Source organism: Homo sapiens, chromosome 10 (genome assembly GCF_000001405.40).
Source record: "Homo sapiens chromosome 10, GRCh38.p14 Primary Assembly".
In the NCBI taxonomy this organism is placed as follows: domain Eukaryota; kingdom Metazoa; phylum Chordata; class Mammalia; order Primates; family Hominidae; genus Homo; species Homo sapiens.
This window is the reverse complement of record NC_000010.11, coordinates 32,926,964-32,948,733: the sequence shown is the minus strand read 5'-3', so window position 1 is coordinate 32,948,733 and position 21,770 is coordinate 32,926,964. Positions and strand designations below refer to the sequence as shown.

Genomic DNA, 21,770 nt, shown 5'->3' with positions numbered 1-21,770 from the left:
TTGCATCATCCCATGGTAGAAGGTGGAAGGGCAAGAGAGTGAGAGAAGAGAAGGAGGCCAAACTCCGTCTTTTATCTGGAACCCATTCTCCACTCCTGTGGTAATAGCATTAATCCATTCATGTGGGCAGAGCCCTCATGACCTTATCACCTCTTAAAAGTCCCACCTCTCATCACTGTTGCTTTGGGGATTAAGTTTCCAACACGTGAACCTTGGGGACACGTTCAAAGCATAGCAAACCTCAAAGCTTCCTCCTTATTTCTGTTTGTATTAGGTATGTTATTCCCTCCCCTCAATCTTTTTTTAAGGGTTTCTGTGATATCAGTGTTCAGAGCATTTGTATTTTGTCTACTATGTTTTTATGATATTAGTGTTCAGAGCATTTGTATTTTGTCTAACATTTACTACCTTAAATATTTTGTCAGTATAAAATATTTAAGGTTTTGCTGCTTTTATTACTTTATGAACACATTTGTCAGGAATCTGATTGTTAGAAAGCACATTAAATAGAATTCTACTTGGATGTGGAATCTATAAAGAGTATAATAAGGTTTTGATATTGAGGATGTCAGTGTATGAACAGCTATAACAATCCACATTAATCTATTTTCTGTAGTTGTGTTACTTCTAACTTTCAGACTTTATCCTTTCTTTCATATCTTGTGTCTTCCCTAAAGTGGATCCAGTCAGTTTTCTGGTTATAATTACAATTGAAAAAAAAAAAAAATTCAACCATAGTTACTTCTTTATTCAATTACGTTGTTATTGAGCGCTTCCTGTAACATTTGGTAATGATCATAACAAGTAACACCCAGGTACTTACAATTGGCCAGACATTGTTTTAAATGTTTTATGTGTATCAACTTATTTAAACTTCACAAAACCCCTACAAGGTAAATACTGCTGTCCCCATTTTAAAGATGAGGAAACTGAGACAGATTAATTTGCCAGTGTAACTCTGCACTACACAATGTTGTACAACGGTAGATGCCACAAATATCTGCTGTCATGAAGCTCAGTGTTTTATTTTTTGATACCTCAGAGTATCTCCAGTTGTTTTTATCGTTAGTTTCTTCATTTATTCAATATAAAGACATTGCGCTAGATACAGAAAACATGGAGAAACTTCTAGAAGATGACAATTTATAAGGCAAGTCAACCATGTACATCATTAGTAGATGTATAAGAGCTACATATGCCCCAAACAGGAAACCTTTTAAATGAAGATTATTATATATGTTTTAACATACTGTGTGTATGTACGTACACACACACACACACACACACACACACACACACACGGCTATATGTGAATCACCTGGCTTTAGTCTTTCTTTCCTCCCCAGTTCTTGCCATAATTCGAGGGCTTCAAGAGTTCATGCAGATGATACTTCTCACACCTTGGTCTAGCAGTTTTCTTTCTTTCTTTTTTTTTTATTTAATGAAATTTCAGTTTATTCAGATAAAGACTAATGTATGCCTCATAACCTAGTGATAATCTATAAGTTTGGGAGTTCACAACATTTTTACAAAGCACATAATATTAACATTCAAGTGAGGCATTATAGAAAGTTTTATAAAGAATGAAGTAGGCCAGGTATGGTGCCTCATGACTGTAATCCCACCACTTTGGGAGGCAGAGGTGGGTGGATTGCTGGAGGTCAGGAGTTTGAGACCAGCCTGGCCAACATAGCAAAACCCTGTCTCTACTAAAATACAAAAATTAGCCAGCCGTGGTGGCACATGCCTGTAATCCCAGCTACTCAGAGGCTGAGGCAGGAGAATTGCTTGAACCCAGGAGGCGGAGGTTGCAGTGAGCCAAGATCATGCCACTGCACTCCAGCCTGGGTGATCAAGTGAAACTGTCTAAAAAAAAAAAAGAAGTCTTTACTATAATTCTTTTAAAAAACCTTGGTTCATCTTGAAAGACTGATGAATTTTTGAAATACCTGCAGAAAAGGAAAATAATCCCCCCCCCCCCCCCAGAAATACATACAAACCACTTATTGGCACTTGTGTTTTAAGTACCTGGAGAAAAACAGGACAGATTTTTAAAGGCAATTAATAACAGCTTATACAAGGCCTTGTTTCATTTGCTTTAGCACCAAGTAAAGTAAGAGTAAATATGCTGTGGAAGATGGTCAGGTTTTTCCTCCTTCTCTCATATGCCCCACTTCTCCTACCAGGTCACAGTACATCAGCAGCCATCCTTGTTGCCCCACTGAGGAATCACTTTAGATTCCAGTATTTAAATGGCTGCTCAGATGAAACCAGTAGAATTCTTTCCCCTTAAGATAAGGTGGCAGTGAATGCTAGCAGGTATCAATTTCTTTGATCAGGAACAAAGAACTCCTTCAGAAAACTCACTTTTTTGGTCTTTGTTAACCTATCCTGTGAATTCTTTTTATTGGCACACCTTGTTTACGAATCATGATTGATTGCTATTTATGCCAAGGGAACATTCCGCAGGCATGCCTGATCTATTTACTAATGACAAAGTATGCTTACTTTACATAATTCCATAGGTTTTCTCTTTTATTTTTGGGAGGAGGGGTATAATAACTTGTTATTTATCAGGGCAGATCATATATTTGGATCAAAAAGAGAAACTGGCAAGTAGATCCTAAAACACATTTCTTAACCCGAGTAACATCTGAAAACATAGATTTCAATTATATTTTGTTGAAAATTCATTCAACTTTGGTGCTTATCCAAGAACTTATAATGTCAATTTCTGACAAAAATTATAACCCTCAATACATATGTATTTTCAAAAGAAGAGTCATCTTAAAGTAATATTTTTCTGTATGTTAATTGATACATTTTTATAGCAAATTGAAAATTCTGAGTAAATTGAAAGTATGTTTAACAACAAAATAAATACAGCATATATGGTTAGCTTATATATTTATTAGTGTAAAGGCAGCAGTGAATTTGTATCTTACAACAAATCTGTGAATCCAGTTGCTTTTTTTTCTGGAATTTTATGTAGTATCACCATGCTCCACAATGCTAGAAATGTGGCATTAATCTGCAAAAATTTCTGATGAGATACTTTCCCCAAATGACATGTAACTTTTTAAAACTTTTCCAAAAAATATGGACATTTTATCAATCACTTAATCTTTTTTTTTTGAGACAGAGTCTCGGTCTGTCGCCCAGGCTGGAGTGCAGTGGCGTGATCTCAGCTCACTGCAAGCTCCACCTCCCAGGTTCACGCCATTCTCCTGCCTCAGCCTCCCGAGTAGCTGGGACTACAGGCGCCTGCCACCACGCCCGGCTAATTTTTTTGTGTTTTTAGTAGAGACGGGGTTTCACCATGTTAGCCAGGATGGTCTCGATCTCCTGACCTCGTGATGCACCATCTCGGCCTCCCAAAGTGCTGGGATTACAGGCATGAGCCACTGCACCCAGCCTATCAACCACTTAATGAACAAAAAGTTAGATTACTACCAATTGTTCATTTAATTTTGCTCTAACGTGTTTTAAAAGTTAAGACATCTCTGATGGTTTTGCAGGTGACTGGATAAAACACACTAGATGATTTCAAAAGATTAATCTTAGTATCTGACTCGTTTGGCACATCCTCAGTATCCAGAATAAAATCAGTAGAAATAAAAGTAATATAACTTTCAAAGAATTCATACATGCTGGAGGTCTTAGGAAAAGCAGTTTTTAAATTCAAGGAATAGGAGGTTTGCTCATCTTACTAGTTACACACATTTCTCCTCATGGAGTAATGGCAGCTTTCTGGCTTCTTTGTGGAACTTTAGTTTGTAGAAAAGCTTGGTAATATTCCAGGACTGGCTTTGTTTGGGCTTCATAAGCCTTTAGTCTTTTGATAACCGTCTCTGGTTTATCATCCTCATGCTGAATGAGAGGATCCCCAGTCAGATCATCAGTGCCCACAGTTTTGGGAGGGTTGAATTCAATGTTGTAGACTCAGCCACTGGCAGGATGAATCTAGCGAGCAGTAAGGCATTGTTTAATGACCTCAAAGGGCACATTCGGGCTAATCACTTTGTCTGTCTAAGAAGCTTAGTCTAGGGCTTCTGCCTGTGGAAGTGTCCATGGAAAACCACCCAACAGCTAGCTATACTAAGTGAGATTTTTCAGCTCATATAGGGCCAGCTGAGTCATGACATCATCTCGGATGAGTTTCCTTTGGTCAATGAAAGCGTTAGCTAACACATTAATTTCTGTGCCCCGCAGCATGTTGATCCTGGAGCAGGTCTCCGCTAGAGAGGTGCTTCACAGTGTTTGGTGACGCGCGACAACTAGTGCTGTTGCCTAGCCCAGGGCCCCCATGATCACGGCTGCTGCCGCGTAGACGCCCCTTTACAGACCAAGGCCCACGCCGCACCCGAACAAGGGCTTTGGCCCAGCCTGTGAACTTACCTTCTCTGCCGCCCAGGCCCAGCCAGCTGGCAGCGCTGCTAGTGGGCGGGGACTGTGGCTCCCAGGCCTTCCCTGAACTCTGGTCTAGCAGTTTTCTTGTCTCTCAACTTTAGTGGCCATTGGTCACTGTACTGGAAACCTCGTGTGTCTTTCTCACATCCTCTTGGCCTCTGATTCCAGCTGGTGCTGCTGGGAACAGTCGGTGGCTCACTCCTGGCTGACTGCATGCTGCCTCAGGTGCCTCTCTTTTGCTTTTTCCCCTGCGGCTCCTCTAACCAACTTTCTTGTCTGTTCCCTCTTGTCTGTCCCTGGGCACGTGCACTGTAGTTCTTAGAAGTGTTAGTGGAGTTAATGCCCTTTGAGGCGACTTTTTACCTATGCAACTGGAGTTGATCCATTTCCCCGTTGACTTTCACTGGACAGACTTTCTACGTACTTCTCAAAAGTTTTCCACAAGATCAAGCCCCCAGGTACTCAGTATGGTAAAGATAGTATCTTTGTATTGGCTTTTTCTCTTTTTCTTGGTTCACTGTCTTCAAAGTGTCTCTCTCTTTTCCTGGGGTCACCTTCCAATAAACTGCCTGCACACCAGTTCTGTTCCCAGGCTCTGCTTTGGACAGAACCCTAGCTAAAACAATGACCTGGTACTGTATTTTTAATACAGGCCTTTTCCCCCAAGACTGCCTGTCTCTGAAATTGTAAATTCTTAACTGTCGTAGGTTCCAGCTCTTTTCACTTCCTTGTTTCCGTGGTCCCCTCTCCTCTCACCTCCCTGTTGTGATGTCTGGTCTTTTGACTTTTTCCTCTTGTTAACTTTTTGGTAGCACTGCACCTTCTTTGCCCCCCACCCCCACCTTTCCTCTTGCACCTGCCCTGCACACCAGGGAATAGATTTAGTGATTCCAAATTGGAGTCTGAGGGACCATGGGAGGTATTCTCAGAGATTTGGGCATTTCTACAAAATTTAAAAAAAAATCATGCTTTCATGTTAATAATAAACATTTAGTTTATCTGGTTGACCATCTTATAACCCAGTAATATAACTTCAGAATCTATGTTTGTACTTGGAAGTTAATTTTGGTTTCATAATGTTTAAGAGCTATGAGCATGAGACATTTTATATCTATCTATAAGTTGGCTTATATACTTAAAGTAATTGAAAATTTAAGTTGTCACTTGGATGTCTATAGTAACACTTTTCTGTTTAGAGAAGTTCTGCACATTAAGTAATTCTGAGACATTCTTCTGAGTAATGTCAGAGAAAAATGTCATACAATTCAATATGGTTCAGTGAAAATATTTTTAATTTTTTAACTTTTTGAGGCAGGGTCTCACTCCATTGCCCAGCCTGGAATGCAGTGGTGTGATCATAGCTTACTGCAGCTTCCAACTCCTGGACTCATGGCCCCTTCCCCTGGCCCCCACTTCCACCAAGTTTTGCTATGTTGCCCAGGCTAATTTATTTTCTTGTAGAGCCAGGATCTCTAGGTGGGCATGATGGCTCATACCTGTAGTCCCAGTTACTTGGGAGGCTGAGATGGGAGGATTGCCTGAGCCCAGGAGGTTGAGGCTGCAGTGAGATGTGATCACACCACTGCATTCCAGCCTAGGCGACAGAGCAAGACCCTGTCTCCCCCCAAAAAAAAAAAAAAGAGAGAGAGAGAGACAGGGTCGAGGCTAGTCTTGAACTCTTTGCCTCAGGCAGTCCTCTTACCTCAGCCCCTCAAAGTGCTAAGATTGCAGGCATGAGCCTAACAGCAAAGAGTTTTGAGCATGGACTTTGTGCCAAGTATTTCTAGGTGCAATAGCTATAAATAAGATACACCCAGGCCCTATTTTCTTGGAGCCTAGAATCCATCAGGGAAGACATGTTAACAAATAGTTAGAAGTGAAATGAGTGTTACAAATATGCCTGTATAAATTAGGGTGTCCAATACCTGGTGGGCTCTCACCATTGCAGGCTCTCACTGTAATCCCATTGCATCTTCCTAATTTTCTGCAACCCCTAAGCCGTACCTCTTTTCCTAGGAGTTCTTCCTATTTCAGAAAAAAACAGTCATGCATGAATGAACTCTCTTTGCTTTCTCACCTCCTGCTCTGCCTTAGAAGAAAGGCACCATGTCTCTGTTTAGGGTGATCCACCCCCTTGGGCTGCACATGCCATCCCTCTTTGCTCCAAGGAGGCCTGGCTTCATCACTTTCCTTTTCTCTTTTCCTGTGTCTTCACCTCTTCAAGTTTGCCCCCAGTTCTCCTTTCTTCCTAAGTATTCTTTTCATCCCAATCACATCCATTTTCATAAGTTCGGTTAGCACCTAGATTATGACAACTCTCATGTCTGTGTCTCTAACTCTTGACTTATCTCCTGAGATCCATACTCATGTCCTAGCTTCCCAATAGGCATCTTCCCTAGATTTTGCAATAAAACAAACCTCATTTTTTCCCCTAACCCCATTCTCCCTCGTACATCTTCTTTATTTTAAAGTGATGATTATTCTAAATTCCTTTCTTTCTCCCATCCTTCCTTCTCCAAGTAAGCAGCAGATCCCTCATAGCTACCTTCTAATCATTGTTTGTTCGTCTTCTTGTTTGTTGCTGTTATCTGAATTTAGACATTTGTCACCTCTCACTTGAACCTTTGCAGTAAATTCTGTATTTGTCTTCCAGCTCCTGTCTTGCCCCCTGTCCTTTTCTCCACTGAGTTTCTGCCATGTATATGTAGAGGTATTACTAGCCTGCCCAAATTTTTTCAGTTCCCTTCCTATTTATAGAATGGAATCCAAACTCTTTTAGCATGGATGGTATTTGGCTCTCTGTAACGTAGCTCTTCCTGCTTGCTTGGTCTTCGTTCCTGTTATTTCCAACTCATAATTTAAGTCTCAGAAATACTTCAAGATTCCTTTTGGCCTTTCTGATATTTTAAGATTTTAAGATAATATAACTTATACTTACAATAGAAAATTATAAGGATAAAATAATCACTCATTCCACCAACAAGATATAGTTACAAAAACATACATTTTTCTAGTCTTTTTTTCTATAAAGAGAGAAAAAGTGAGACAGTTCCAATTTTGGGTTGCAGGGAGCTGCCCAAATGCATATGCTTAGAAATAAGATTAGGAAGGAGTTATTATAATTCGCCTCGGGACTTCATGGCTTTGTATATGCAGGCCTTTTGCTTGGAATATCTTCTCTCCACTTTTCTCCACACCCATCTCCTATGTGCCTTCAGGTCTAACTGAAACACTGCCATGTGCCTGATGCCTCTGAACTTGTCCAGGCAGATTTCAGTGTCCTCAGTGCACTGTGTCCTTGTTTATTACTGAAACCATCATATCATAATAATTTGTATTTTTGTCCTTGAACTGAAAGTTCCCTGAAGCAGTGACCCTTGTATTTCCTGATATGGCTCAAAACCTGACAGAGTTGTCTGAAGAGGAACCTCCAGAAAGGCAGGGGGAAACCAGTAGAGTTCAAGGGAGTAGAGTGTGTTAAAGAATGGTGAATAGTCTTACATGTTGCTTTGTGTAAATTCTTTGGTAGTAAACCGATGTACTTCTTCAAGTGCATATTGTAGTGAGTCAAAAAATTTGTGAATGAATGAGTGATGAACGAATGAATGCAGAGAGTAAGGTAAGGCCTAGAAAGGGTTCTTTTGCAAGAGTAATTTCACATATATGGTTGGGCATGGACATCAGTTACACAGTTATGTGCCACATAATGACTTTTCGGTCAGTGATGGACCACATACACGACAGTGGTCCCATAAGATTATAACGGAGCTGAAAAACACCTGTTGCCTAGTAATGTAGTGTCATAGTGCAACACATTACTCACATGTTTGTGGTGATGCTGGTGTAAACAAATCGACCATGCTGCCAGTCTTATAAACGCATAGCATCTAAATTACAGTGCATAATACTTGATAATAAACAACTATGTTACTGCTTTATATATTTACTGCACTATATTGTTAATTTTTTTTTTTTTTTTTGAGATGGAGTCTAGCTCTGTCGCCAGGCTGGAGTGCAGTGGCGCAATTTTGGCGCACTGTAACCTCCATCTCCTGGGTTCAAGTGATTCTCCTGCCTCAGCCTCCAGAGTAGCTGGGACTACAGATGCGCACCACCACGCCAAGCTAATTTTTGTATTTTTTTGTAGAGACGGGGTTTCACCATGTTGGCCAGGATGGTCTCCATTACTTGACCTTGTGATCTGCCCATCTTGGCCTCCCAAAGCGCTGGGATTACAGGCGTGAGCCACCGCCCCCAGCCTGTTGTTATTTGAGAGAGTATCTCTCCTTACAGAAAAAGTAAAACAGCCTCAGGCAGGTCCAGGTCCTTCAGGAAGTGGTCCCGAAGAAGGAGATCTTTTAGGAGATGACAGCTCCATGTGTCATTGGAGACAGGATATGCAGGCGCAAGACAGTGACATTGATGATCCTGACCCAGGGCAGCTGTGCAGGCTTTAGGCTAATGTAGTGTGTATTTGTGTCCACAGTACTGTGTATAGTAATGTCAGTAATGTCCTGTTCAGTGTGTGTTCTGTGCAGTGTACTCACTTGCCCCTCTCACTCACTCACTCACTCACTCACTCACTCACTCACTCACTCACTTACCCACCCAGCCATCCAGAGCAGCTTCCAGTCCTGCAAGCTATATTCATGGTAATAGAGGTGCATCAATTTTAAAATCTTTTGTACCATACTTTTACTGTGTAGTTTTTCTGTGTCTAACTGTGCGTAGATACACACATGCTTACTGCAGCATTCCAGTTGCCTGCAGTATTCAGGACAGTCTTGTGCTGGACAGGTGTGTAGCCTAGGGGCAATAGGCTGTACCGTAGAGCCTGGATGTGTAGGAGGCCACACCATCTCGGTTTGTGTAAGTGCACTGTGATGGTTGCACAAAGATGAGATTGCCTTCGCATTTCTCAGAGCTCTTTCTTTGTTAAATGACACATGAAGGTACTGGGTTGAGGAGAGGGAAGGTAGGTAGGAAATGGAGACCAGTGTAGACAACTGTTTCTAGGTCTTTGACCGTGAAGAGGAGACAAGCGTTAGAATTAGGACAGCAACTGAAAGGCATCTTTCCCTGTTATCCCCTCATACTCTGTTTTATATGGAATGCCATTGGGAGGAAACCCCTTCAGGTCCTTTTCTCAGCATAAGAATCACCTGGAGTCCAGGCCCCATGCTCAGGGATTGTGGATTTTAAGCCTAGGGCATCCAGGTAAACCCAATGCAGTTGTTCTCTAGGCCCACTTAGAGAAGTGCTGTCCTGGGAGCTTTGTGGCGTAGGACTTGGGCACCTGTTCCTTCCCCTTCCATGCGCATGTGCAGGGGGCACCCAGTACCGGTAGAAGGGAAGGCCAGCAGCATTGAAAGCGAGGCTCCCTGGCCCTCTGCCTCTCCTTTCCTGTCCGGGTCTCTGTGGCTTGCTTCCCTCAGGCCACTTCTAACTGTGGTCTCCTCTCCGCCCCCTGGTCCTGTAGCTCTTCTGTGTTCTTAATTGGAGTCATCCTCTAGCCTTTCCCTTTCCCTGAGAGAAAGCCTCGCCTTTTACAGATATCACTAGCCAATGGCAGTGCCTCTCTGTTTCTTGCCAGTGCCCCGCCAGTCGCCAGTCGCAGGATCGTTGACATCTGTCATTAAACTGTTTCCAGCTGCTGGCCTTGTTCTCTCAGCTGTTCTTCAACACTGAAGCCTTGTTTCGCCTGCTTCCGGGTTTGGAGCTCTTCCGGAGGCACAAGGGTTTCAGAAGGTTGACTTTTTGCCTTGTCAAGGTTTATAGAAGGAAAGGACAGTGACATTTAAAGTAGTGTGGCTCCGAATGTTAGGAATCATTTTCTGTTACCTAATAACTTCATCTTAGTGGTGATTGTCTAAATTGTATGATATGTTGACAGATTTCTCAAAGCAGTCTCTAGTGATCATTAAACAGCCTGAGTTGTATCCTGAAGAAACATGTATCTGTCCATATATGGAACAAATATTTGTTCCATTCCCTTTGTGTGGAAACTGCCTGCATGCTTCATTCATCACAGTAATGCATTTCCTCAGGAACTTTTAATGTTTCAGGTGTCTGTTGTCATAGCTTTGGAATCGTGATAACATTATTTGACTTGCTTAGAATTATAGTCTAATGGATTTACTACACACTAAACCTTTTAGACAGGCCTTGAAAGGTGAATTTGGTAGGCATTTCACACTTCTGTGACACTCAGATTTTGCTGGTCTCTTGGATACAGTCACAAGTGATATGTAAGCAAAACTGCAAGCTCAGGCATAACAGCCTGCTGGGCTGAGCACGATTGCAGAAGTGAATGACTTTTCACGTTACGCTTAACTCTTTTCTCTCGGGTGCTCAGAGCACAACTTAAAGCATTCTCTCTGAGCCAGGGGAATAGCATCCTGGAATGTAAGCCCTTGAAGATGGAGGTCTGTAAAAGAAATATTCAGTGTTAACTTGGAATTCAGTGAACTTTTTTCATATTAAAGGAAATTTGTCAAGAAAAATAATTGCACAGTTAAATTGTGCTACAGTTGTTTTCATTAAGAAAGTAGAAAGAAGACCCTAACAGTTTAAAAAACAAATGGCCCTCATTGTCTTTATATTGTGCATATAACTCTTTGTTATCTTCAGATTATATGAAACTATTAGTATTATTTTTATATTCTTCTCATCTTTTTTTCTTTTGCCTTGAGAAAGTCACGTTCTTCTCATTGTGTACTTTACATCCAAAATTATTTTGTAACTCTTTTTTTTTTTTTTTTTTTTTTTTGAGACGGAGTCTCGCTCTTTCGCCAGGCTAGAGTACAGTGGCGCGATCTTGGCTCACTGCAACCTCCGCCTCCCGGGTTCAAGCGATTCTCCTGCCTCAGCCTCCTGAGAAGCTGGGATTACAGGAGTATGCCACCACACCCAGCTAATTTTTGCATTTTTAGTAGAGACGGGGTTTCACTATGTTGTCCAGGATGGTCTCGATCTCCTGACCTCGTGATCCACCCGCCTTGGTCTCCCAAAGTGCTGGATTACAGGCGTGAGCCACTGCACTTGGCCCTCTATAACTCTAAATGTTGCTGCATTTTATTATTGCAATGACTAATAAGTCCCTAAACTTGATGCAGTTAGATTTCCCTGTTATTGGATATAGGATATTTACATTTTTGCTCTTGTGAATATACTAGAGTACTATACTGAATGTGTGTGTATATGTGTGTCACCTTTTATATATTTAAGTATTTCCTTAGGGTAAATTCCCAGTAGCTGGATTATTAGAGGGTAGAAATTTTTTTATGGTTTTTGATATAAATTGTCAAATTATTTCCCAAAAAGTTGTATCAGTTCACAGAGCTACCAGTTGGTTTCTCGCAGCCATCTGCTATAGTTTTGTTGGGTTAAAAAACTTTCTATTTTTGCTAGTTCATCTTATGTTGCTTTAATTTACATTTTCCAATAACGATTAAACCTAAACTTTTTTTGTATAAATTTGCTTTTTTGAGTATTTCTTCTTGTGGAGGGACAGATACTTATATATAATTATTAGATTGGCTGCTAGTCCAAGAGCAGTAAGTAGTTAAGGGATCAAGTCAGCAACCAGTGGCCGTAGCCATCTTTGACCAATCAAAGATATAGATTCATATCATCGTGAAAGCTTTGATTCAGAGAAAATAGTTATATATGTACCTAATGGTAGGAAATTGGGGTAGTTGTATTTAGTATATAGAATATTACCTAATTTTTTGGTTAGAGGTTCTAGAAGACAAGACTTTTTCAGTTTGTCTTATGCCCTCTTTTTTTTTGTTGGGGGAGAGGTGGGGGGTCTGGACACTCTAGGAAATTAAAACTGAGTATTTTACTTATTGCATGCATAGAAGTTGATTTTCTTTTCTTTTCTTTCTTTTTTTTTGAGATGGAGTCCTGCTCTGTTGCCCAGGCTGGAGTGCAGTGGCATAATCTTGGCTCAGTGAAACCTTTGCCTCCCAGGTTCAAGCAGTTCTCCTGCCTCAGCCTCCGGAGTAGCTGGGACTACAGGCACCCACGACGATGCCTGGCTAATTTTTAGTAGAGCTGGGGTTTCTCCATGTTGGCTGGGTTGGTCTCAAACTCCTGACCTCAGGTGATCTGCCTGCCTCAGCCTCCCAAAGTGCTGAGATTCCAGGCGTGAGCCAGCGCTCCTGGCAGAAGTTGATTTTCTTAAAAAAGAGAGATAATAGGAAAACAAGCTCAAAAATCTATTTGGGGCCTTATGCAGGATGTTGGCCTTAGCCTGAAGAAATAAAAACTGATGAAGCGCATTGTTAGCAGAGGGATGACTTGATCAGGTTTTTGAAAACGAATGTTCAGCATTGAGGTAACTGAGGCATCTGGATATGCTGGTCTGGGCCCCTGGGAGCCGCAGGAGATAATGGAGATAGAGATTCTATGGGCTGAGACCATTGGTAGGTTTTATGGTGTTGAGGAATACTTAACACTGATTTTTTTTTTGAGCGCTGTTAATTAAATGTTAAAATATAATCGGTTTGCTTTAGAGAAAGGCACGAATGGATTCTGGGGCTCTGGTATGGAAGTTATTTTCGCAGTGTAGGTGCAAGGTGAGGGAACCAGATAGGGAGGGGAGATGGGCGAGGGTCTGTGGAGAGGGGCTGGAGTGAAATGGTTTGAGAGCCATCATGTTTATAAAAGCAATAGAAGGTACGGTGGGGTAATACTTTCTATTTAATGCATTTTTCATTTTATTTCTTTATAACTAATATAAGGCACATTTTACATTTCAGATGAATTTACAACCAATTTTCTGGATTGGACTGATCAGTTCAGTTTGCTGTGTGTTTGCTCAAACAGGTAAAAACAAAAAATTTTCTTAGTTGTCTTTTCATTTCCGTATCTTGTATTGCGCTTTGACCAGTTAGGTTCATATGAGAACCTAAGTCATAATCATGCTGCTCCTTCTGGAAGCCCTGCAATTGTTCCTCTTACTCAGAGAAAGGTCAAGTTCCTTCATGGTCAGGCTCCCCTCACCCCTGCCACCTGGGATGATGGGAGGCAAGTTGGCTGGTGAAGTACTAAAATGCTAGGGATTGAACACACTGCAAGAAGATCTTTTGAGAACATGAGAGTGTGTAAGTGAACAGAAGGCAAAAGCAAGTATATTTAGAAGCAAATGAAATAAATGTGTAGAATGGAGGATTATGAACTGTCCATTATTATCTGCAAAGACTTTCTAGAAGACATTCTCACTCTTTGATAAAAAAGTCTCACAAAATGTTGGCATCATCTAGGAAAGCAGTGAAAATAAAGCTGAAAATGTATTTAACCCTTCTATAAAGATGTGGCTCCACATCTGGAATAATGGATACGCAGTTCTGTCCTCTGAATCTTGAAAAACTACACTGCATAGAGCAGTTCGATATCAGGATTGGAAGGACTTACTACAAGTAGTAAAAATGAAGCAGGAGACCGTAAAAGAAAGTATTGATAAGTTAGTTACATAAAATCAGTAATAACAAAAACATTCTGTGTCAGAACACCGTAAACAAGATGAGAAACTAAACAAAGGTTCCACTTCATTAATGTGTATAGAAATCCAATAAAAACTGAGGAACATAACAAAAAAATTTGCAAAAGACATAACAAAATTATAAAAGAAATGGTTAGTAAAAATATGAAACAATGTAAAACCTGAAATTGATAGGCTTCACCAATGAATTGATATTCTAATTTACACTTATGAAATGAGCAACAGTTTTTTAACATTAAAGCACTTCGGTTGGAAATGTGGTAAAATGGTATTTGTACACTGCCGTTTTGTGGGAGCTTATATTAGTAGTGTTGCCCTATGGTATCCATGGGGAATTGGTTCCAGGACCTCCTTCAGATACCAAAATCCACAAATACTCAAGTCCCTGATATAAAATGGCATGATATTTGCATATAACCTACACATATCCTCCTGTATACTTTAAATCTTCTCTAGATTACCTGTAATACTTAATACAATGTAAATGCTAGGTAAATAGCTTTTACACTGTATTGTTTAGGGAATAATGACAGGAAGAAAAGTATGTACATGTTCAGTACAGACACTTTTTTCCCCCATTTTTGATCCGTGGTTGCTTGAATCCACTGATTTGGAAACCACAGACACAGAGGGTCAACTGTATATTACTTTTGGATAGAAATTAGTGTGTATAGAGAATTTTAGAAATGTTAATATGCTCTTCAACTTAGTAGTTAATTATTCTTTTAGGTTTTATTATAAGGAAATAATCAGATGTGTACTAAGGTTTATATATAAGATCATCAGCATGTGTATGTGCATGTAGTACAGTATGTGTATATGTGTACTTGGGGTGTTTATATGTGCATGTGAGCAAGCATGTGTGAACTGTGCACACATACATTTGGAAACAATCTAAATTTGTCCAGCATTAAATAGAGTACACTTATATTGAAATACATAATCATTAAAAGCTTTTTAATTCTTTTTAAAAAGAATTTGTGATGATAAGAATAAAACACTTAGGATAAGGTATAAAAAACAGTATACAAAACTGTACAACTGTATATATAAAGTGCATCCTCAGTTTCATGTAAATAATACATGTATTAATATATATATGCTTGCTTCCCCTTGCTATTTATCTGCATAGGAAAAAGACTGGAAAGAAATAGGCAAAAATGTTAGCAACAGTCCTCTCTCAGTTAACAGATTCAGTGAGTTGGTTCTTTATGCTCTTGTGTGTTTTCCAGATTTTCTATAAGAAGCATATGCTGGTTTTATAATCTCAGAAAAGATACGTTGGAGACAGTCTGTATTAGCGCTTACCATGTAGAAGGCATACTCTTCCTTAGGTAGATGCAAAGAAACCTAAAACATACTTTGAACATAGAGCCTGAGAAATTCTGGGATTATGGATTAGATGAATATGGACTTTTCAGTTATTTAACATACTGAAAGCAAAGGGAAAGCCTTGAAGATTCTTGTGAGTATGGTAGGAGTTAAATGACAAGAAATAATACTTTGCCCAGTTTTAAGAGAACTCATGACATTTATGACAGTCAAGAATGATAAATTCTGAATTATGTCTTGTCTTTGATACAGAAGACAAGGAAGATAACTTATGTCTCTCTGTGGCTTTCAGTGTCAAGGTGATCCAAAATCACGGTCCCAAATTTTGCATTGTTCTCACCGGTTTGTGGGAGCTAAAAATTAAAACAATTGAACTCATGAAGATAGTAGAAGGATGGTTACCAGAGGCTGGGAAGGGTAGTGAGAAGGTGGGGAGGAAGTCGGGAGTGTTAATGGGTACAAAAAAATAGAAAGAATAAGTATGACCTAGTATTTGGTAGCACAACAGGGTGACTGTAGTCAATAATAATATAGTTGCATATTTTAAAATAACTAAAAGAGTATAATTGGATTCTTTGTAACACAAAGGATAAAGGCCTGAGGGGATGAATACCCCATTTACCATTATATGACTGTTATGCATTGTATGCCTGTATCAAAATATCTCATGTACCCCATACATGTATACACCTATTTACCCACAAAAATTAAAAATTAAATTAAAAAATCCTGCTCTCTTTGGGGAAGGTCTAGTTTAGATGGTAACTAGGTCATAGTATTAATATTTAACATATGTATTGCATTGTCATTGTGATTCTGATTTTTCATTATTTTCTCTCTGACACTTCACATAAAATGTTCTGTTCTTTCTTCTTTCTGACAGATGAAAATAGATGTTTAAAAGCAAATGCCAAATCATGTGGAGAATGTATACAAGCAGGGCCAAATTGTGGGTGGTGCACAAATTCAGTAAGTAAGGTTGCTCAAGTCCTTTCCATTTGTTCTCTGGTCATTTAGTGTGGCTCAGTGCTGTATCCTTCAGAAGCACATATTAATTTTTATGTAAATCATAAAATGAATAACCTAATGGTTTGGAGCTATGTGGTTCAACACAGTAGCCACTAGGCAGATGTGGCTATTGAGCACTTTTGTACAAATTAGAATTGCTCTAAGTTTCAAAGATATACAAGATTTCAAAGACTTAGTATTAAATAAATAATAATGGTGAAATGATAATTTTTGTATATTTAAAAATAATGTTATAACAGTGTTAAAATTTTCTCTTTTTCTTTTTTTAGTGTGGCTACTAAACAATTTTAAAATACATATATTTGTAGCTCATCTTTGTGGCACATATTAGATTTTTATGGGAGAACCTTCAAAAAAATCCTAGTCATTTAGTTTGACTGTTTCAGATTTCCCCTTTTTTGATGGGGAGGTATAAATTAACCTTCTTAATTATATTTGAGTTAAACTACTGGAATTGATTTGCATCCCAATATAAGCTTATTGAGGTTAATTAGGGTTTGGATTTTATTCACTTTTGTCATCTCTATACTTTTGCTAATATGGTACCTTCCACAAAGCCTACTAAATGTTCAGTGAGTCAATGAATGAATGAATGAATATATCAAAAGAGAAGGTAAGGAGAAGTCATTTTGAGGTTGTATAGTTTATTCACAGAATGAATAACTAATATCAGAAGATCAAGGGGTTACTGATTTTGTTTTCATGCAGGCATTTGGGCCCAAGTTTCAAGTGCCTATTTTTGTATGCCTAAGTGGTCAAGTGTCAGATATGTCGTATGGTTTGACCACATGAAAGAAAAAATGAGAGGTTTTGTTGTTTTTCAAAAATTTTCTAATGGTGTTTTCTAAAAGTGGTGTGTTGGGATTACATTGGCAACAGTGGAGGAAATATGGAGTGTTGTGAGTTTGTCTCAGGCAAGGCTTATGTAACTGAAGCTCTTGGTTTTCATATCTGAAAATGAGGATGATAATATCCGCTTTATCTATTGTTACAATAATTAGAATTGATGAACTTAAAGCAGTTTCACTTAAAAACTTCTAAATAAGTGGTAGCTGCTATTATTGTTAACATATCCATTTTATGGGGACTACAGTTTATCTGTAGTTAAGGATTATCTTAGCCTTTGAGCTTTGGAGCATAATCCTTAAAATTTTAAAGGCTTTCTGAATATATTCAGTGAAATTGTATTTGGGTGTCATGATTGTAAATTTCGTGGATTGATTAGTATTTAGAAATGTGTAATTCACTAGGATCTTGTGCTTTGGTAGGTAGTAGTTTAGGTTTAATAAATAGTGCAGCTTTGAATTATCTGATTCTTGGTATTCCCTTCCAGTTGTTGATTACATAAATACTCTCATTAGTATGATGTTTCTCTTAAAAAATCTTATGTAAAAACTATTGTGTATTCTTTAAATTTAAATATCTTCACTTACTGTTACTTTATACAGCACCGTTAAATTGATATTTGATAAATAAATACCATATATAATGTCACTGTTTCCCCCACATTTTCACATTTCTTGAAACACCTTTATTCACAGTCTTTATATAGATCTTTAACAGCAGTGTTTTTGAATTCACTAAGGCACTTTTCAGTTATATGATTAAATTTTTATTTCTAAGTTGTTTGATGTATACCACATTTAAAATCTCTGTCATTACTAGAAATTTTACTACTGCAAATATCCATTCACCTGCCATTAAGAACTTTTTTTCCTTTTTTGAAATTTACCTGCCATTAGGACCTTTTACCCTTGTCATATACTTACTCCTTTTACCCTTGTCATATACTTACTATTTTGCTTTTTAAAAGTTTTTTAAAAACTTATTTACAATAATAGCTAATACTTAAAGTTTTTTCAAACCTGTGGGAATACTTATTTAATCGGTGCTAAATTTCGTGTTGTCCTTTTAAAAAATGCAATAATTAATTGAGATGTTTTTAAGCTCGTCTGTTTTCCCTAAACATCGGGTTGTTCAGCATATTGCGATGGGGAGAGTGCCACATAATATGAGACGCTTTGTAAGGACTTTTCAAAGGGAAATTTTGGAGAAATGATCTGATATTTGGGTGTATGTATACATTATTAGTAGCCATTAACCATGCTCAATTAGTGATTTCACTAAAGAAATTGCTTTTGATTAGATACTCTGAATTACAAGATAGAGCATTTACTGTGTACACTTGGGTCAGTTCTGGGAAAGGTATTACTTTCTTGGAAATGATTGTTTTTTAACAAGAACACTTACCACAGTTTGGATGAAGGGAGCATTTTGTTTAAAAGCCAGAATTGGGGTACATTAGATGTGATTTGATGTTTTGCAATTTAATTGCTTATTTGCAATTATTATGTAAAAAGGTTTGACCATTACAATTTTCATTTATACCTATATTTTATATGTCATTTAGACATTTTTACAGGAAGGAATGCCTACTTCTGCACGATGTGATGATTTAGAAGCCTTAAAAAAGAAGGGTTGCCCTCCAGATGACATAGAAAATCCCAGAGGCTCCAAAGATATAAAGAAAAATAAAAATGTAACCAACCGTAGCAAAGGAACAGCAGAGAAGCTCAAGCCAGAGGATATTACTCAGATCCAACCACAGCAGTTGGTTTTGCGATTAAGATCAGGTATGGAAGCCCAACTCTGTGAATACCTGCGTGTTTACTTGAGGCATTCGACACCAGCTTTATGCAAACTCTGACCAGTTTCTGTTGAAGGCTCGTTTTTACATGTGGACTGGCACTCAAAAATGTGGAATTGTTTAAATTTTAGAAAATTTTTGCAGATATAACAATTGTAAGACATATTTACTTGGAATAATATTAAATGTTGCCTAATATTCAAAGTAAATTTTGTTAAAGATTCAGAAAGTATTAATTAGCTTTAGTGAGTTTTAAAAATGAAAGTGTTCATCCTCTGGTCTAATTACATAATATATTATAAAAGCAACATTTTAACCTGTTCTTTTCCTTTGTATTTGTTTAGTATTATTAAACTGTTAAGGTTTTTGTAATTATGTCTGTTAGTCCCACATCTAAACATGAAGGAAAAAACAAGCCCTCATCCTCGCTTTTCTGGTTTCCGACCTTTCTTGTCAGGAGAATGGTAGAGTGGCCCTGTCCCCTGACTTCCCTCCCGGCCCCTCCTCAACCAGGTCAGCCCTCTCCTCCTCATCCTGCTCTAGCAAAGCTCCACCATCGCCTTCAGCCCGCAGACCCAGGGGACCCTTGTCAGGATTTTTTTTAACTCTTCTGTACCAAGTAACACTTTGTACTTTTTGAAATGCTCTGTCCTTGATCAATGATACCACTCCTCGGTTTTTCTTTGTGTCTCTTACCATTGCCTTCCAGGCCTCTTTTTGTGTCTTTTTTCTTCCTCCCTTTTTGCAGTCCACCTAAATGTCAGTTTTCCTCTCGTGGCTTTAAAACCCAATTGTATGCTGCAGCAACACAGACTTTTCTTGAGCTCCAAACCCATTTCTCCAATTGCCTATTAGAAATCTATATAGAGAAAACTACAAGTTAAAATTTTAATTACATTTTCATCCAAACCTCTCTCCTGTATTTCCTAAGTAAATTACATTAACGTCTCTTGTATCTCTCTCTTCTCCTCCTTCATCATCTCTCTCTGGGTTTCTTTTGTAGATTAGCTAGTCTCTTTGCCTCATAATGATAATAAAAATAAAATAATAAATAATAAATAATAATAAATAAATAATTATTTTTAAAGCTGTCTGCCAGGCTTTCTAAAGTAAAGATCGGATCATGTTATTCACTTGCAGGGAGTGGCATCCCACTACACACAGAACAGAGTTCACAACTTCAGTGTCTAAAAAGTCAGTTGTACCCTATCACGTGTTCTGCCTTGCCCTCTCCAGACTAATTTATGGTGTTCTATTTGTTTTCTTCTCTTATAAACTGACTTTTTGTCTGTTTTGTCCACTGTGGATTGGGAATATCTTTTTTATCTTTGCATCCTGAAGGCCTGGTGTTTAAAGTATTTGTTGAATGAAACTGAATACATACCCATTGAGTTACTTATGGAATTCCCAGGTTTTTGTAAAAATTATGACAACATGTTTTATTTTATTGTGTTTACCGTGTAAACCACATTTATTTGGTTTTTCTCGTTTGCGTTTGATTGCCAACAGGCAAGTTTCATTTTCTAATCTCTTGTCTAATTAGGGGAGCCACAGACATTTACATTAAAATTCAAGAGAGCTGAAGACTATCCCATTGACCTCTACTACCTTATGGACCTGTCTTACTCAATGAAAGACGATTTGGAGAATGTAAAAAGTCTTGGAACAGATCTGATGAATGAAATGAGGAGGATTACTTCGGACTTCAGAATTGGTAGGAATGTTGGGAACATTGACCATTTTCATTATAAAGTCTTGGCAATTCTCAAATGTTGTTTTATATTTTATTCCTTTGTTACTCACAACATACTTGTGAGATAAACAAGCCAGTTTTTTAGCCTTTTCTGAGTGGAAGTTGATATTCCAGTCACACGTTTAATAATCTTTTCTGCCACCTTGTTCCTCTGTCACTGGATGCTACTGTTTGACACAGATTGTACCTCATAGATAATGACTTGCATGCTTATTTTCATACTAACTTGATCATTTATCTTATGACTTACTTTATTTTATTTTTAAGAGTTTCACTCTTGTCGCCCAGACTGGAGTGCAGTGGTGTGATCTCGGCTCACTGCAACCTCCGCTTCCCGGGTTCAAGTGATTTTCCTGCCACAGCCTCCCGAGTAGCTGGGATTACAGGCATCTGCCACCACCCCCAACTAATTTTTTGTATTTTTAGTAGAGATGGGGGTTTCACCATGTTGGCCAGGCTGGTCTCGAACTCCTGACCTCAGGTAATCCAGCTGCCTTGGCCTCCCAGAGTATTGGGACTACAGGCGTGAGCCACCATGCCTGGCCCTTATGACTTATTTTATAAACATGTGTTGAATACCCAGATTTTATCTAATTGCTAATTAGTATGTCTGCACCTGCCCGTACAGCCTGATCTCATCTTAGACCTGGATTTTTCATATGATGATGATCTGCTTTCCAAACCTTATTTTTCCCATTTCATGCATCCCCAGCTTAACCTCTTTTTTGCCTGCTTCTCTCCACTCCTGTTGCTCTAGAGGTTTAGCAACAGAATATTAGAAAGATTTGACAGTTATGAGGCCTAAGAGCTGCCTTTCAAAAATTAGCCCTATTTTAGTGGAAACATTTAAAAATAGCACTTGCTTAAAATGTTCTTTTATTCTGTAAGCATAATTCAAGGACCATGGCATTAGGGAGCTCCTATCAAATTAGTGTTTTTTAAAATGGCCAGAATTCTAGAATATTTGTTTATTCATTTGTTCAGCATGTCATTATTGAGAGCTGGTGTGCCAAGAAAATGAATGTGAGTTATTTTTAAAGTAGGGAGGCAAAATAAAAAGATTGTCTTAGGTCTTAGTCCATTTGTGCTGC

At 38.6% G+C, this 21,770-nt stretch overlaps 1 protein-coding gene and 1 pseudogene across 3 annotated transcripts in view, besides 1 other annotated feature; one reads left to right on the top strand and one right to left on the bottom strand.

Moving 5' to 3' along the window:
* The window catches only part of ITGB1 (integrin subunit beta 1), a 57,913-nt gene that overhangs the window by 9,497 nt on the left and 26,646 nt on the right, over positions 1 to 21,770 (top strand). For all 3 annotated transcript variants that reach the window (NM_002211.4, NM_133376.3, NM_033668.2), the window contains 4 exons: positions 13,176 to 13,242; positions 16,134 to 16,219; positions 18,690 to 18,912; positions 20,470 to 20,640. In NM_002211.4, coding sequence (NP_002202.2) covers positions 13,176 to 13,242; positions 16,134 to 16,219; positions 18,690 to 18,912; positions 20,470 to 20,640 — 547 coding nt within the window. Of the gene's footprint in view, positions 1 to 13,175; positions 13,243 to 16,133; positions 16,220 to 18,689; positions 18,913 to 20,469; positions 20,641 to 21,770 lie in introns of those variants that run through there.
* On the bottom strand, positions 3,533 to 4,452 carry AK3P5 (AK3 pseudogene 5; annotated as a pseudogene).
* Positions 10,084 to 10,173: an enhancer, noted in NCBI's record as "active region_3249". NCBI's record gives its function as "activates an Ori minimal core promoter by ATAC-STARR-seq in GM12878 lymphoblastoid cells {active_cell/tissue: GM12878}" and the evidence as "EXISTENCE:reporter gene assay evidence [ECO:0000049][PMID:35858748]".